Here is a 17921-nt window from a genome sequence, read left to right on the forward strand (position 1 = left end):
CTTGTGGCATTCTCAATGGCACTCTCTATTGCTGTTTAATCTATATCTACTTCAGCCTACTGGAGGGAATGAGTAGTTCTCTAATATCACATGGATATGTACAAATGAGGATACCTGTGGAATCCTTACTGTGCACTAAGGTAGCAAACACTCTGCGAAACTTAGTTACCATTTATATAATCTTGAATATTCTATTTCTATTTCCTGACAAAGTATTAGGTTCACTTATCTGTGAGAAAGAGGTGCTGATAGCCCTCAGTTCATAATAGGCAGCTCAGGTCATTGTGTGATAGGGAAGTTGGCATTATATTGACCCATACTGTATGCGTGTGCGTGCAGTTTGTCTAGAGATTATTCAAAAGATGGCAGAGGTTTTACAAATCATTTGGCTGTCTGGGTCATGGGTTCCAAGAAGGGCTGCCTACTCTGCATCCTATCCTTTAATCCAAAATCTTGATTTAAAAGTACCTCAGACCAGGTGTGGTGGCTCACACCTATAATCCCAGCACTTTAGGAGGCTGAGGCGGGTGGATCACCTGGGGTCAGGAGTTTGAAACCAGCCTGGCCAATCTGGTGAAATGCTGTCTGTACTAAAAATACAAAAATTAGCCAGGCATGATGGCAGGCACCTGTAGTCCCGGCTACTTGGGAGGCTGAGACAGGAGAATTGCTTGAACCCGGGAGGTGGAGGTTGCAGTGAGCTGAGATCCCACCACTGCACTTCAGCCTGGGAAACAGAGCGAGACTCTAAATAAATAAATAAAAGTATCTCAACTCAAAGTCCCTAGTCTTTCAGTTTATGTACTGTTATGTACTTATGTTTATGCATTTATTTTCCAGCTTGTGCATACAACTCACCAAATTCCCAAAGTCAAGATATGCTCTCTCCAAGACTGCTGAGCTCCTTCAAGATTGAGATGTTAGGGAAACAGTTTCCGGTTTAACATTCTGGAAGATAATTAGAAAAAAGTCTATTGCTGTCATCCCTTGGGATCCCAGTATGGTCACTCACATGGCCAGACCCGGAGTTTCTTGGGGGGATAACAGTTTAACCCCTTTCTTTTTTTGTTGAGGTATTAGGGGATAAAGAAAAGTTGCTAGCTTCCTTTATTAAACTCTATTAACATTAAATATTGTCAGTGGAATGGATAAAAGTAAATACCCGGCCAGGCATGGTGGCTCATTTCTGTAATCCTAGCACTTTGGGAGGCCGAGGCGGGTGAATCACTTGAGGTTAGAAGTTCAAGACTAGCCTGGCCAATATAGTGAAACCCCATCTCTACTAAAAATACAAAAATTATCCGGGCGTGGTGGCACGCGCCTGTAATCCCAGCTACTCAGGAGGCTGAGGCAGGAGAATCACTTGAACCCAGGAGGCGGAGGTTGCAGTGAGCTGAGATTCTGCCACTGCACCTCAGCCTGGGCAACAGAGTGAGATTCTGTCTCAAAAAAAAAAAAAAAAAAGAGTAAATATCCTTAGGTTGATATCACCATTGCAAGTCCCAGTAAATAAATCTCTGACAAATAGTAGATGAATCCACATGTTCCAGGTGTAGGAGAGTAAAGATGCCAATATTGTGACTACTTAACTCAGTTGGTAGATTTCCATTAAGAAGTCTTGATATCCCACCTAATTTATGATTTATGGGATGATCATAAATAACTGGAGGATTCAAAAGAGATAGAATGGAACTCTAATGGCGATCCCTAATTATCTTCTTTATTTTTTAACTTCTTTTGGAGATATAGTATTGCTACTCCTTGGTAATATTGGTGGAGAGAGGGAGAACAAGGGGTCTCATTCACTATGCCTAATCCTAAGGCTTGACTCACAATTATACATTCCATGCAGTGTGGTGGATGTAACCACCATTTTTGTCAATGTGCCTCCTCTGGAGTTCATAAATCTAATACAGCTGTTAAAAGGTCCCTAGAATCTGACTGTGTTCTTTAATTATGTCCCAGTCATGCTGGTATTCCCAACATTTATTGTCACAGCTTGGGATATAAGTCCCAGTCTGATCTAATTTCTTCCCATCAGATAGCTCATACCTTATCTTTCCTAGAGCGCTTTACCAAAATCTCTCACCCAGTTCTTACTTCCTGAAAGACCTGCTGGTTCAGGCATACAGGGATACCACCTACAATGCAAAACAAACACCTCCTTATTAGAACTTATGAAACCAAGGCAAGAATCAAATATAAACACACTGATCCTTGCCCCAGAGTCTTGTTGAGCATATGTTCAGGCTTTAAAGAGATGAAAAGAATCCTTTCTGTAGCAGGCACCCTCTCTCTGGTTTATACACATACTGAGAATGAATTACAGGGGCATCAATCTGTGGTGTCTTATCTGAGACTCACCCAAGCAAAACATTATTTTCCCATAGGAATACACTGTATCAGTTTCTTTCCACCAAGGGGTTGCTGTGCAGTTTTCCACAAGGGCTCTTACCAGGTTTTGTAAAAGTGAAATTTAGAAGAAAAGTCGTTACATCTGCAATTAGACTAAATTTTGCCTTGTCTTCCTTCAAGGAATGTACCAACTGCAGTCATTATACTACAGATTAAATAAGCATGTGATTTATAGATGCAATTTGTTTTTTCTCCATTTCTTTAAACTGTTGGAATATCTTTTTATTTAAACCTAATGAAATAGTTGTTTCTACAACCTTGAGAAGTTGGGGGTCTAGGTCCAACATTATAAGAATCTTTGAATTCTTTCTAGGATTTCAATCACAGCCTGGCAATATTACCTCTATTAGACAATTCTTTCAACATGCTTCATGGTTATGATTTCTTCTCTCCTACCCAGTTGCACCCTGCCATAGTCTGCTCTTGCAGTGCCATAGTTTTTGTGTTAGCCCATTTTTGTTGCTGTAAAGGAATACCTAAGGCTGGAAAATTTATAAGGAAAAGAGGGCTATTTGGCTCATGATTCTACACGCTGTGCAATCATAGCTCCATCATTTGCTTCTAGTGAGGGTCTCAGGAGGCTGCTGGTCATGATGGAAGGCAAGAGGAACCATTGTGTCACACAGCGATTGATGGAGCAAGAGTGAGAGGAGGAAATTCCAGGCTGATTTAAATAACCAGCTTTTGAACTCAGAGTGAGAACTCACTCATTGCCACTAGGAGGGCACCAAGACACTCATGAGGGACCTGCCTCCCTGACTCTAACACCTCCCACCAGGCTCCACCTCCAACACTGGGGATCACATTTCAACATGAGATTTGAACAGGACAAAACATCCAAACCCGTATCAGCTTTCAATGGATTATTTTATTTTTGTTAAATCATTTTTTGTTTTCATCTACAAACTACTGTATTTGTTGGTAATGTATCTGTCTTGCTTTTAGATTCCGTTTTCTTAGGCTATGTCTCATTGAGAATAGGACATGGTGAGAGGCTTTGAGGATCTGTCTATACCACTTTTTTCCGTTGTCTTTAAACCTTTGGTAGTGTGAGGAGGGGCTTCTTTGATCGTCAGATTTTTTTTTTTCCTGAATAGTGGTGAAGAGAACATTGATTTGTAACTTAAGTCCTGGAAAGCCCCTCCTAATCTCAGTATTAACAATGTTGGCATGCATCACCTATTATTTTGTAAACATTACTGAACTTACCAAATCTGTGTGCTTGCTCTCTTTAGTGATGCAATCTTCATAAAGTTTTGCAAAAAGGTAGAGTACAAGTTGCTAAATAAAACTTGAAATCTCTTTAGTGTATGAATTATATTTCTATGTATGCTTGAGAGTAATCTGCATTTCCTGTTTCTACTTATAGGATACAAACTTCTGAAGACAAAGTCTATGCATTTTCTCTCATAGTTTTGTACCAAGCATATCATGAGTGGGCAAAGAATGTTGTTGTTTATCATAATAAAAAGATTCATAATCTTTGAAACATATCTTTTTTTTTAACATAGAAAGTGCAGAAGATAGATGTTTGTATGTTGCAAGGTTTTTTGTTTGTTTGTTTGTTTTTTTGACGGAGTTTCACTCTTGTTGTCCAGGCTGGAGTGCAATGGTGCGATCTCGGCTCACTGCAACCTCTGCCTCCCAGGTTCAAGTGATTCTCCTGCCTCAGTCTCCTGAGTAGCTAGGATTACAAGCGCATGGCAATATGCTCGCTAATTTTTCGTATGTTTAGTAGAGACAGGGTTTCACCATGTTGGCCAGGCTGGTCTCGAACTCCTGACCTCAGGTGATCCACCCACCTTGACCTCTCAAAGTGCTGGGGTTACAGGTGTGAGCCACCGTGCCTGGCCTGTATGTTGCAAGGTTTTGAAAGGAAAAATGGAAAACTGTATTTTATTTTCATTAACTTAGATTACAAGAAGAAGGTATTAGGGTTGATGTAGCAGTCTTTTGATGGAGATTTGTTAGCTCAAAGGGCATCTGAGAGTCTAAAGTTCCAACCATTCATGATCACCGAATGGGCTAATGCACTTAAAAAATCAGTCTGCATGGCCAGGTATGGTGGCTCATGCCTGTAATCCCAACACTTTGGCAGACCAGGGTGGGTGGATCACCTGAGGTCAGGAGTTCAAAACCAGCCTGACCAAAATGGCGAAACCCTGCCTCTACTAAAAAAACAAAATTAGCTGGGCATGGTGGTGCATGCCTGTAATCCCAGCTACTAGGGAGGCTAAGGCAGGAGAATCTCTTGAACCTGGGAAGCAGAGGTTGCAGTGAGCTGAGATCATGCCATTGCACTCCAGCCTGGGCAACAAGAGCAAAACTCCATCTCAAAAAAAAAAAAAAAAGTCAGTCTGTCATCATCAATAAACAAGTAAAATTTTGTTGGATTTTCTTAAATATTTAACTACCAGATTATGACAAAACTGTGCATATTTTAAATTGATCCTGAATCTCTATAAAAATGGCATTTGTGAAATTCCACAAATGTTAGATACTATAAGTTTAATGAGCTGTGGACTAAGAAATCATTCTGTTTTGAAATATTTAAGCCTTCCTTCTTAGTCCTGAACTAGCTAAGGAGCTGCACTTCCAAAATGCATTTAAAAAAAGAAAATTTAACCAGGGGCATATAAACAATATTATAATTGAAAATAGTATCTACCCAACTAATCAGCGTAAATTGAATTTAATGAAGGATTACTGTTATGCATTTATTACCCTTATAGGTCAATGAAATATAGTTTAGTTCAATTGGATTTTTTTTTTTTTTTTTTTTTTTAGGATAGATTCTCACTCTGTCACTCAGGCTGGATTGCAGTGGCAGGATGACAGGTCACTACATCCTTGACCTCTTGGGCTCAAGTGATCCTCTCACCTCAGCCTCTCTAGTGGCTGGGACTACAAGTGTGCACTACCACGCCCAGCTAATTTTTGTAGTTTTTGTAGAAATGGGGTTTTGCCATGTTGTCCAGGCTGGTCCTGAGTTCCTGGGTTCAGGCAATCCTCTTCTCTCAGCCCTCCAAAGTGCTAGGATTACAGACAGGCGTGAGTGCCCAGCCAGGCGTGAGCACTCAGCCAGCTTTGACTTTTGTTGGAAATAATTTTTAAGCCTTTGTCAGAAATGGCACAAAGAACTGATGTAGGAATTTACAGCCTTTTGAGAGTTATCTCCTTTATAGTCAAAAGGATACAGAAATAAAAGTTAAATTACAAAACTGATCAATATCATGTTCTTAAACATTATTTGTATCATAACTTTTAAAAAATCATGTTTCTTAGTTTTTTTAAAAAATAGAATTTTTAAAAACATTTAGCAATATTTAAAAAACTTTTGCATTATCAATCTCTGTTTTTTGTCGATTTTTAGGAAAAATATATATTGCATTATTTTTCATTGTGCTATTTGGCGTTTCTCAAAGAATGACTATGTTGTGCATGAGAATTATCTGAACTGTGAAAAATGTGGACTCACAGGTCATATTCTCATATCAAATGCTAATTTGATCCCTGGGGTTTGGATCCAAGCATCTAGATTTTTAACAAACATTGTAGATGATTTTTTCCCCTAAGGTCTGGGAACCACTGGTATAAGCGATTTTTAGCTCTTCAGACAGACATAAGATTTTGAATGCTAATTAAAATGGCTGCTAATTTGTGAATAATTTCTAATTGAACCCCAGGCAATCTAAAGAGATAAAAAATTCATTGTGAAAAACACAAATAACAGTGCAAAATAAATTGTTAATTGACCTTTTAGAATCACTAATAATATAATTGCTTTGTAGAAAACCTTTTAAAGCTGAAATTTAAAAAATATTGTTTTTAAAAATTACCAAGATAGCTACTATAAAATATGATTACATGCCATGGGATGAACTATATCTCCCCAACATTTGTATGTTGAAACCCTAACCCTCGGGCCTTTGGGAGGTGATTAGGTTTAGATGAAATCGTGAAGATTGAGCCCTCAGATGGAATTAGTGCCCTTATAAGAAATCTGAGAGCTTATGCTGTCTCTGTTCTGTCTGTCTTTCTCTCTCTCTCTGCCATTTGACACAATGAGAAAGCCACAATCTGACAGCCAAGAAGGGGGCCCTCACCACAACCTGGCCATGGCAGCCTCCTGATCGTCGACTTGCAGCCTCCAGAACTGTGAGAAAATTAATTTCCGTTAAGTCACCCAGTTTATGGTACTTTCTCAAACTAAGACACCATAGAAGTGTAAGTTTTAAAAATATTAATACATTTAGTGTTATTAATTCCTGTCCCTGCACATATAACACAATGTTCTGTTATAAAGTTAAAAACAAATTAGAATCTTCCTAATTCAGTATGTTCTAAGAAATACTACTTGACAATAATCAATAAAATAAATTTGCAAAACTTGTCAATGATGTGTCCCATGTCAAATCAAATAAAGATAGCCTTTCTTGGATAGGTTGTTGGAAAATGGTTGTATCAACTGAATTTTTCATGTTTTACTTCAGATTTTCAATTTTAAGTTTTGTTTATAGATTTGATTAAAATAAAGGTTATTATGAATAGGTTATTAATAAAGGTTATAAAGTTCTGTGCCTATGATGTGTTATAAATGGTGTGTTCAGCTTTACTAGTTAATGCTGTTGTATTTGATGTCGCTTCAGTGACCTTTTTTGTTAGTTTATTGTTACTTAAAATTAAGCAAAATCTTTCTTGCATGAAATCTTCTTGATTAATTATTGCCATATAGAATTTTCATTCACCTAATCTTTTTTTTTTTTATTTGAGACAGAGTCTTGCTTTGTTGCCCAGGCTGAAGTGCAGTGGTGGCATCTCGGCTCACTGCAACACTGCAACGTCTGCCTCCTGGGTTTAAGAGATTCTCCTGCCTCAGGCTCTGGAGTAGCTGGGACTATAGGCGGGCACCACCACCCCCCGCTAATTTTTGTATTTTTAGTAGAGACGGGGTTTTACCATGTTGGCCAGGTTGGTCTCGAACTCCTGATCTCAAATGATCTGCCTGCCTCGGCCTCCCAAAGTGCTGGGATTACAGGCGTAAGCCACCGCGCCTGGTCTCATTCGCCTAATCTTTATTGTCTACTATATTCAAAGTGTTGAGTGTGACAACAAGTCATTTAAAATTTAGTCTGGATTCTCAAGAGTTTGTAATATAATGAGGAAAAAATCCCAACGACTTTCTTTTACTCAGATCTCCATAATGTCATTTGCCATCAATAGTTTGGAATATCACTGAAGTCCAAGGGCCTGTGGCTACCCAATATTCCAAATACAATATAATTTGGTTCAAATAAGATATTAAGAACTTTGGTCAAGAACTTTGGTCAAACACAGGAGATCTGGAATCTAACGGCATGTCTTTGGCAATTCACAACCTCTCCCTCTACACGTTTCTCCATGTAGAAAGTAAAGGCCTTGGAAAGGATTGATGAAAACCAACCCTAAAACTCCACGATGCCTTTTTCTGTACTCCGAATCTAAAAGGGTGAGCTATGAAGTAAAACTCTGCACTTGGTCCAAGTCATTGAAATATTTGCAAACGATGCTAGAGCTCGAAAAGAGCAAAGATAGCAGAAACCGTCCAGAGAAAGTAACCTACTGCTGAAGCTCTGCAAACTTGAGCAGTCAACCAACTTCACCGCTCACAAACGTTTGGCCGCTAGGCATTGTGACTTTCTGCCCAGATAAAAGTCTTTTTTTCTTTTGTCTCCTTTTTTTCTTCCTCCCTGCTTTGCCGCGTGAGATTACCACTCCTCGGGTCAGCTCGCGAACGCCAGGGAGGCGAGTGTGAAACACACGCGCCAACACCCCTCCTCCTCCTCGTGCGCTCCTCCTTCCTACAGAAAAATGTGTTTCTAGGCAACGGCGGGCGGCGGCGTCACTTCCTGCCATTTAAACTCAGGTCCCCACCCCTCGCAGCCCCTTCTCCTCGTTTCCACCCCTCCCCCCTCGGTCGTGGGCCTCATTCACGCTTCCCCGGGCTTGGGGAGGGGGCGGAGGCCCGGCGTGACAAGCGGCCCAGACTCCCGTGGGCGCCGCACACCTGTTGTTTGCAGCAGCCAGCGACCCGCACTACCGCTCTCGGCGGGCGGGGAAGCGGCCGCAGCGGAGCCGACCCGGCAGGTGGCCGCGGGCGGGGCCGGCGAGCGAAAGTGCGCGGGGGCCCGACCACCGCGGGGCCGGGACGCGATGGCGGCGGCAGAGCCCGCGAGCTCGGGCCAGCAGGCGCCGGCAGGGCAGGGGCAGGGCCAGCGGCCGCCGCCGCAGCCTCCGCAGGCGCAAGCCCCGCAGCCGCCCCCGCCGCCGCAGCTCGGGGGCGCCGGGGGCGGCAGCAGCAGGCACGAGAAGAGCCTGGGGCTGCTCACTACCAAGTTCGTGTCGCTGCTGCAGGAGGCCAAGGACGGCGTTCTGGATCTCAAAGCGGTGAGCTCCGGAGGCGGGGACGGGGGCGGACTTCGGAACCCGTGGCCCCCGGGGAAGCCCAGCCCCTCGCCGCGTGGGTCTAGCGGCGTGGTGTAGACGCGCCTTGCGGGGACCCGGGACCGGGCAATCCGAGGACCATGTGGCCTGCGCCCGGGTCGTGGACGCCGGGATGGGGGAGGGACGAGGGACCAGGATGGCACCGAGCGGACGCGTAACCAATGGGGCCCGGCGCCACGCTGGGCTCTCGACAAAGAGCCCAGGACCTCGAGCGCGCCCGCGTGGCTTCTGTCTCCGGGCGCAGGGACCTGAGGGTAACCGAGTGTCTGTTGCTCTGCGTCCACCTGTGGCAGAGGCTCACGGGGTAACGGGCGCTTTGCCCGGAGACACCGTGGATATCGATTTTGCTGTTAAGAATGGATGGTTTTAATAGGCGATTCCAGTTGGAACCATGTTCCTGTAGTTTAAATAAAAAGGAGGAAAAACAAAACCCAGTCTGCCATCTCTACCAGATGAAAGAAAAAAAAAAAAGAGTACTTCTTTCCACGCCCCTCCCCGATAAAATAGTATTAAATCTTCCTTGTGCACTTCTTTCATCACCCTGATAGTTAGGAGGGGTATTTGATTTGTGACTTCATTTGGCATGTGTCATGGGTTTCCAAAAGTGAGATCTGCTGTCACACGAAAAGGGGATATTTTACAACTTTCACCCAAAGAGGTGGAAGTGCTCAGTAAACTCTCTCCCTGCGTCGTCCTTTACAGCGTTCAGATTTTTCAAACAGGAGCAGGCATCAAAAGCTGTTCTGTCATACAGAATGACTTAACCGATCTAGGAAGGATTTGGAAGAATTCAACAGCGCTCAGGATAATGAGAATGTGGTCACTCCGCGCGAAGTTTAAGAACTAAAGTTTTAGAAACAAACAAACAAAAAACACTAACTGCCCAATAATCACTGCAAATCCCCTTTGACTCCCTAAATGTGGCCTTACTTGGAGGATTGGCCCCAGCTCCCAGGGGAGTGCCTGGACCACCTTACCTGGCTTGAGAGTGTCACTGCATCCTCAAGGCTCTGCATAAAGCAGTGGCAGCTCCCTGAATGTAAGGACCAAGACTTGCAGGGGCCAACTCTTCTGCTAGAGGCCCTCCTCCAGTGTAGCCCAAGGGGAAGTAGATCTTTTCAGTGCCCTCTCCTTTCCCTGGATGTAGTTGGTGTTCAATCAGTGATTGTTGAACTGAATTACCTAAATTGTTCAACTTCATACAACTGAGGCATGCTGCACATATTTTGCATTTTGGTAAGTAATTTCTACTATTTTCTTTTTGATATGTTATTCCTGGAATTTTTTTCCCACCTCTGGAAATTCCTTGTTCTCTTTTTTCCACCACAGCCCCTTCTTCCTTTCTCTCCCTGAAAGTGATTTATGGCATGTGTAGTATTTAAATTGTAGTGAATTAAAATGGATTCTGTTTAAAGAATTTCACAGGAAGTCATGAAGTTATCAGAGAAAGCCAGGAATGTTACAAAGCACAGGTGGCAAACTGCTGTTCAAAATCTAGAAATTCAGCTGTAGCCTGTGACTTTGGTGTAAGAAAATCAGGGAAGTTTGGGGTTTTCCAGGTAAAACTGAACTCTGACGGCTGGACTTTGAGGGCTTCTCCCTCAGCTTGCCTCAGGATATGGTGGAACTTTGCCCTTTCTTGACTTGAAATTCTTTAGCTTCCTCCTGTTTCATCTGTGGCTATATAATTGCCCTACAGAAGTCACAGAGGCAGTGAGTAGGATGTAAAGTTTGGTATTTCATGACAATAATTGCTTTATTCATTCTGGAACTCTCCTAAAAATTCAAAGGTTTCTACAATAACACTGTCTCATTATATTAATGACTTCATACTCCTAGAAAAGAGTTTGAATGTCTTTAGTTTTCATATATATGTATGAAAAACATATGTTTTATGTATTTTACGTATATTTTTCATTTATTTATATATACTTATATATGTAAAAATCTTTTTTTTTTCTTTTTTGAGACGGAGTCTTGCTCTGTCGCCCAGGCTGGAGTGCAGTGGCGCGATCTGGGCTCACTGCAAGCTCCGCCTCCCGGGTTCACGCCATTCTCCTGTGTCAGCCTCCCGAGTAGCTCGGACTACAGGCGCCCGCCAGCGCACCCAGCTAATTTTTTTGTAATTTTAGTAGAGACAGGGTTTCACTGTGTTAGCTAGGATGGTCTCGATCTCCTGACCTTGTGATCCACGCGCCTCGGCCTCCCAAAGTGCTGGGATTACAGGCGTGAGCCACCGCGCCCGGCCAAAAATCTTACATTGAAATCTTTCCAATGATATTTCTTATTATACACCATAGTAAAAGATCGTTAAAGCCTTTTTTTTTTGAGACTGAGTCTTGCTCTGTCACCCAGGCTGGAGTGCAGTGGCAGATCTCTGCTCACTGCAACCTCCACCTCCCGGGTTCAAGCGATTCTCCTGCCTCAGCCTCCCAAGTAGCTGGGATTACAGGTGCCCGCCACCATGCCCGACTCATTTTTGTATGTTTAGTAGAGAAGGGGTTTCACCATGTTGGCCAGGCTGGTCTCGAACTCCCAACCTCAAATGATCTGCTTGCCTCAGCCTCCCAGAGTGCTGGGATTACAGGCGTGAGCCACCATACCCAGCCCATTAAGACATGTTTGATAATACATATTAAAGATGGACTCACACTGACAATTATAAATTTCCTCTAATTTGAAATTATAAAGACACATTTTCTCTTGTATTCTTACTTTGGTGGGGGCATATTTCAGCATAATTTTTTTGAAACTTTTAAGTTATACACTTGACTTTTAAACGCAGTTAAAGAAACTATACATATATATATATATATATATATATATATATATATATATATATATGGTTTTTTGGTTGGTCTTGTTTTTTTTTTTTTTTTTTTTTGAGACAGAGTCTCGCTCTGTGGCCCAGGCGGGAGTGCAGTGGCGCAATCTCGGCTCACTGCAAGCTCCGCCTCCCGGGTTCATGCCATTCTCCTGCCTCAGCCTCCCGAGTAGCTGGGACTACAGGCACCCGCCATCACGCCCGGCTAATTTTTTTTGTATTTTTAGTAGAGACGGGGTTTCACCATGTTAGCCAGGATGGTCTCGATCTTCTGACCTCGTGATCCGCCCGCCTCGGCCTCCCAAAGTGCTGGGATTACAAGCGTGAGCCACCGCGCCCGGCCGGTCTTGTTTGTTTTTTGAGACAGGGTCTTATTCTGTCGCCCAGGCTGGAGTGCAGTGGTACAATCTCAGCTCATTGTAACCTCCACTTCCCGGGCTCAAGTGATTCTCCTGCCTCAGCCTACCAAGTAGCTGGCACTACAGGCGTACACCATTATGCCTGGCTTATTTTTATATTTTTAGTAGAGACAGGGTTTTGCCATATTGCCCAGGCTGGTCTCGAACTCCTGAGCTCAAAGCTATCTGCCTACCTTGGTCTCCCCTGTGAGCCACCGCTTCCGGCCTTGAAGAAACAGTTTTTGAATATCCCAAAGAATAAAAAAGTATATCAAACTTCAAGTAAAATATCCAAATATTTTGGATATCATAAAGTATCCTAGACCACATAGATGCTATTTCTTTTCTATCTTATGCTGCTGGAGAATAAGAACGTAAGGTTGTATCTTAGTGACACATTTCTTCTTTTTTTTTGAGACGGGAGTCTCACTCTGTCACCCAAGCTGGAGTGCAGTGTCGCGATCTCCACTCGCTGCAAGCTCCGCCTCCTGGGTTCACGCCATTCTCCTGCCTCAGGCTCCTGAGTAGCTGGGACTACAGGCGCCCGCCACCACGCCCGGCTAGTTTTGTTTTTTTTTTTTTTGTATTTTTAGTAGAGGTGGGGTTTCACCGTGTTAGAATGGTCTCGATCTTCTGACCTCGTGATCCTCCCACCTCGGCCTCCCAAAGTGCTGGGATTACAGGCGTGAGCCACCGCGCCTGGCCATTTCTTCTTAATAATATAACTAATTGAAAACATGGCTCGGTCAGGCGTGGTGGCTCACGCCTGTAATCCCAGCACTTTGAGAGGCCGAGGCGGGCAGATCACCTGAGGTCAGGAGTTCGAGACCAGCCTGCCCAACATGGCGAAACCCCGTCTCTACTAAAAATACAAAAAAATTAGCCAGGCGTCGTGGAGGCGCCTGTAATCCCAGCTACTTGGCAGGCTGAAGCAGGAGAATCGCTTGAACTCAAGAGGCGGAGGTTGCAGTGAGCCGAGATCGCACCACTGCACTCCATCCTGGGCGACAAGAGCGAAACTGTGTCTCAAAAAAAAAAAACATGGCTCAACATAGAAAATCAATTTTAATAAAGCTGTTGTAGTATAACTTAACAATTAGGAAGCAATAGAAAGACATTGAAAGTGATGTGAGGAAAGTTTATTCATTATCTCTGCAGCTTCACCTACACCATATAGTCTCATTTACAATAGTGGAGGTGGGATAGTTATTATTTCTTTATTCCAGTGAGATAAGAAATTATATCATGGTTATTTCAAGCTACGTGGTTTGCCAGTTTATGCTGTTAATAGCTAATATACATCAAGAGCTTACCATATGCAAAACATTTTACATGTTTTTAGCTAATGTTATCCTCTTAACAACAGTGAACATTTCGGCAGAACAGCCCCATTTCACAGCGTAAGAAACTGCTAGTTAAGTAGGCCAAGATAGGTTAGATAACTTGCCTGGTGTTGTACAGTAGAAAGTGAGAGCTAAGATTTGAAATTAGACCATTTATTGTTATTCTCTATGTTATACCATCTTTCAGTAGTCTTCAAAAATAAATGTATGTAGGTAGGTTTCCATTTGCATAAGGGCATGGAAAAATGCATGATTATTCTTACTCCTCTGCCCAAGGTGGAAAAGAAGGAGGTACTGTGCTCCTGAAAATGAAGCTATTGGTGACATATTCTGTATTATTGCATAAATTAAACTAGGATTTCACTTGTTCACAGTTAAGAATTTGAACAACTGTTAAGATAGTCATGACTATGTATCTGTATGTTGTTTTGAAAATTCCTATTAAATGTAAGTTATAACTAAAGTTCTACATTTTATTTGCCATTTTGGTGTCAGTATGAGCTTTTTTAAGCATGATGAAGATTGCTTATCTCTTTTATTATAATTCTTTAACTTAATAAATTACCTGAATTATACCTGAATTAATGTGATAAAGTATGGTGCGTCTTATCTGACAGGTCCCTGATGCATACCCGTTTATGAGCCTGATTTAGATACATCCTGGGATAAATAAATAATTGAAGACACTAGTTTGGCCGGGCCCGGTGGTTCACGCCTGTAATCCCAGCACTTTGGGAGGCCGAGGCGGGCAGATCACGAGGTCGGGAGATTGAGACCATCCTGGCTAACACGGTGAAACCCCGTTTCTACTAAAAATACAAAAAAATTAGCCGGGTGTGATGACTGGTGCCTGTAGTCCTAGCTACTCAGGAGGCTGAGGCAGGAGAATGGTGTGAACCCGGGAGGCGGAGCTTGCAGTGAGCCACGATCACGCCACTGCACTCCAGCCTGGGTGACAGAGCAAGACTCCGTCTCGAAAAACAGCAACAACGACAACAAAAGACCCTAGTTTGTAATACCAGGCAAACATTTTAAGGTAGAATTAGCCTAAGGAGAGATATGTGGGTAGGACAGCGAGAACTTTAGTGCATGCTTACAAATTCTCAGGACCCTTCCACTCCTGGGTGTATACCCAAAGAATTGAAAGCAGGGCCTCAAGAAGGTATGTATACCCCTGTGTTCATAACAGTGGCATTCATAATAGCCAAAATGTGGATGCAATCCTAATGTCCGTCAATAGATGAGTAGCTTAACAAAATGTGGTATATATACAATGGAATATTCTTCAGGCTTAGAAAGAAGAAAATGCTGACATATGCTGCAACATGATAAACTTTGAGGACATAATGCTAGGTGAAATAAGCCAGTCACAAAAAGATAAATACTGTATGATTCCACTTACGTGAGGTACCTGGAGTAGTCAAATTCACAGGGGCAGAAAGTAGAAGGGTGGTTACCAGGGGTTGAGGGAAAACAGAATGGAATTTGTTGCTTAATGGATGTTATAGGCTGAAATGTGTCCCCCAAAATTCATATGTTGAAGGCCTTACCTCCATACATCAGAATGTGATTGTATTTGGGGATAGGGCCTTTGAAAGATAATTAAGCTAAAATTAAGCTGTGACCTGATCTAATCTGACTGGGGTCCTTATGAGAAAGGGGAAATTTGGATATACAAAGAGATGCCTCAGATGCTGCCACCCAGAGGAAAGACCATGTGAGGACACAGCAGGAAGGTGATCATCTGTAAGCCAAGGAGCGAGGCCTCTGAAGAAACCAAATGGGCCAATGAAAAAAAAGAAAATGTCAGGCCCATATAACTGATGAACGTCGATGCAAAAATCCTCAATAAAATACTGCAGACCAAATCCAGCAGCACATCAAAAAGCTTATCCACCATGATCAAGTTGGCTTCATGCCTGGGATGCAAGGCTGGTTCAACATACGCAAATCAATAAATCCATCACATAAACAGAATCAATGACAAAAACCCATGATTATCTCAATAGATGCAAAAAGGCCTTCAACAAAATTCAACAGCCCTTCGTGCTAAAAACTCTCAATAAACTAGGTATCAGTGGAACATATCTCAAAATAATAAGGCTATTTATGACAAATCCACAGCCAGTATCATACTGAATGGACAAAAACTGGAAGCATTCCCTTCGAAAACCAGTATAAGACAAGAATGCCCTCTCTCACCACTCCTATTCAGCACAGAGTTGGAAGTTCTGGCCAGGGCAGTCAGGCAAGAGAAATAAATAAAGGGCATTCAAACAGGAAAAGAGGAAGTCAAATGGCCTCTGTTTGCAGATGACATGATTGTATATTTAGAAAACCCCATCGTCTTAGCCCCAAATCTCCTTAAGCTGATAAGCAACTTCAGCAAAGTCTCAAGATACAAAATCAATGTGCAAAAATCACAAGCATTCCTATACACCAGTAACAGACAAAGAGCCAAATCATGAGTGGACTCCCATTCACAATTGCTACTAAGAGAATAAAATACCTAGGAATCCAACTTACAAGGGATGTGAAGGACCTCTTCAAGGAGAACTATAAACCACTGCTCAAGGAAATAAGAGAGGACACAAACAAATGGAAAAACATTCTATGCTCATGGATAGGAAGAATCAATATCATGAACATGGCCATACTGCCCAAAGTAATTTATAGATTCAATGCTATCCCTATCAAGCTACCAATGACTTTCTTCACAGAATTGGAAAAAACTACTTCAAACTTCATAGGGAACCAAAAAAGAGCCTGCATAGCCAAGACAATCTTAAGCAAAAATAACAAAGCTGGAGGCATCATGCTACCTGACTTCAAACTAAACTACAAGGCTACAGTAACCAAAACAGCATGGTATTGGTACCAAAACAGATATATAGACCAATGGAACAGAACAGAGGCCTCGGAAATAAACACCACACATCTACAACCATCTGATCTTTGACAAACCTGACACCAAGAAGAAATGGGGAAAAGATTCTCTATTTAATAAATGATGTTGGAAAACTGGCTAGCCATATGCAGAAAACTGAAACTGGAGCCCTTCCTTACACCTTATACAAAAATCAACTCAAGATGGATGAAAGACTTAAACGTAAGACCTGAAACCATAAAAATCCTAGAAAAGAACCTGGGCAATACCATTCAGGACAAAAGCATGGGCAAAGACTTCTTGTCTAAAACACGAAAAGCAATGGCAACAAAAGTCAAAATTGACCAATAGAATCTAATTAAACTAAAGAGCTTCTGCACAGCAAAAGAAACTATCATCAGAATGAACAGCCAGCCTATAGAATGGGAGAAGATCTTTGCAATCTACCCATCTGACAAAGAGTTCATATCCAGGATCTGCAAAGAACTTAGACGAATTTACAATAAAAAACAACCCCATCAAAAAGTGGGCAAAGGATATGAACAGACACTTCTCAAAAGAAGACTTTTATGCAGCCAACAAACATATGAAAAAATGCTCATCGTCACTGGTCATTGGAAAAATGCGAATCAAAACCACAATGAGATACCATCTCACACCAGTTACAATGGCGATCATTAAAAAGTCAGGAAACAACAGATGTTGGAGAGGATGTGGAGAATTAGGAATGCTTTTATACTGTTGGTGGGAGTTTAAATTAGTTCAACCATTGTGGAAGACAGTGTGGTGATTCCTCAAGGATCTAGAACTAGAAATACCATCTGACCCAGCAATCCTATTACTGGCTATACACCCAAAGGAGTATAAATCATTCTATGATAAAGACACATGCACACGTATGTTTATTGTGGCACTATTCACAATAGCAAAGACTTGGAACCAACCCAAATATCCATCAATGGTAGACTGGATAAAGAAAATCTGGCACATATACACCATGGAATACTATGCAGCCGTAAGAAAGGATGAGTTCATGTCCTTTGCAGGGACATGGATGAAGCTGGAAACCATCATTCTCAGCAAACTATCACAATAACAGAAAACCAAACACCACATGTTCTCACTCGTAAGTGGGAGTTGAACAAGAACACATGGACACAGGGAGGGGAACATCACACAGTGGGGCCTGTTCAGGGTTGGGGGGCTAGGGGAGGGATAGCATTAACAGAAATACCTAATGTGGGTGACGAGTTGATGGTTGCAGCAAACCACCATGGCACATGTATACCTATGTAACAAAACTGCACGTTCTGCACATGTACCCCAGAACTTAAGGTGTGTGTATGTGTGTGTGTATATATATGTACGGTATATATATATATGGTATATACATAAGGTATATATATGGTGTGTGTGTATATATATGATATATATAAAGTATATATGGTATATATAAGGTATATATATGGTATATATGTAAGGTATATATGGTGTATATATGGTATATATGTAAGGTATATATGGTATATATATGGTATATATGGTATATATAAGGTGTATATATGATATAT

The 17921-nt window shown here is 42.1% G+C and overlaps 1 protein-coding gene and 1 long non-coding RNA gene across 3 annotated transcripts in view, besides 3 other annotated features; one reads left to right on the forward strand and one right to left on the reverse strand.

Annotated features, from left to right (window-relative positions):
* Window positions 1-3263: 3263 nt before the first annotated feature.
* On the reverse strand, window positions 3264-8228 carry E2F5-DT (E2F5 divergent transcript). Its single transcript, NR_134311.1, has 3 exons — window positions 8018-8228; window positions 3625-3659; window positions 3264-3504 (listed from the first exon to the last, which is right to left on the reverse strand). It is a non-coding gene; the product is annotated as an E2F5 divergent transcript (long non-coding RNA).
* Window positions 8002-8171: an enhancer, noted in NCBI's record as "active region_27590". NCBI's record gives its function as "activates an Ori minimal core promoter by ATAC-STARR-seq in GM12878 lymphoblastoid cells {active_cell/tissue: GM12878}" and the evidence as "EXISTENCE:reporter gene assay evidence [ECO:0000049][PMID:35858748]".
* Window positions 8272-8801: a silencer, noted in NCBI's record as "silent region_19333". NCBI's record gives its function as "represses an Ori minimal core promoter by ATAC-STARR-seq in GM12878 lymphoblastoid cells {active_cell/tissue: GM12878}" and the evidence as "EXISTENCE:reporter gene assay evidence [ECO:0000049][PMID:35858748]".
* E2F5 (E2F transcription factor 5) overlaps window positions 8341-17921 on the forward strand; it is a 37365-nt gene continuing 27784 nt past the window's right edge. For both annotated transcript variants that reach the window (NM_001951.4, NM_001083588.2), the window contains exon 1: window positions 8341-8841. In NM_001951.4, the coding sequence (NP_001942.2) occupies window positions 8608-8841 (234 nt within the window). In that variant the 5' untranslated portion in view covers window positions 8341-8607. The remainder of the gene's footprint in view (window positions 8842-17921) is intronic.
* Window positions 8812-9201: a silencer, noted in NCBI's record as "silent region_19334". NCBI's record gives its function as "represses an Ori minimal core promoter by ATAC-STARR-seq in GM12878 lymphoblastoid cells {active_cell/tissue: GM12878}" and the evidence as "EXISTENCE:reporter gene assay evidence [ECO:0000049][PMID:35858748]".

The sequence above is a fragment of the Homo sapiens genome, chromosome 8 (assembly GCF_000001405.40).
Source record: "Homo sapiens chromosome 8, GRCh38.p14 Primary Assembly".
NCBI classification, from domain to species: Eukaryota; Metazoa; Chordata; class Mammalia; order Primates; family Hominidae; genus Homo; species Homo sapiens.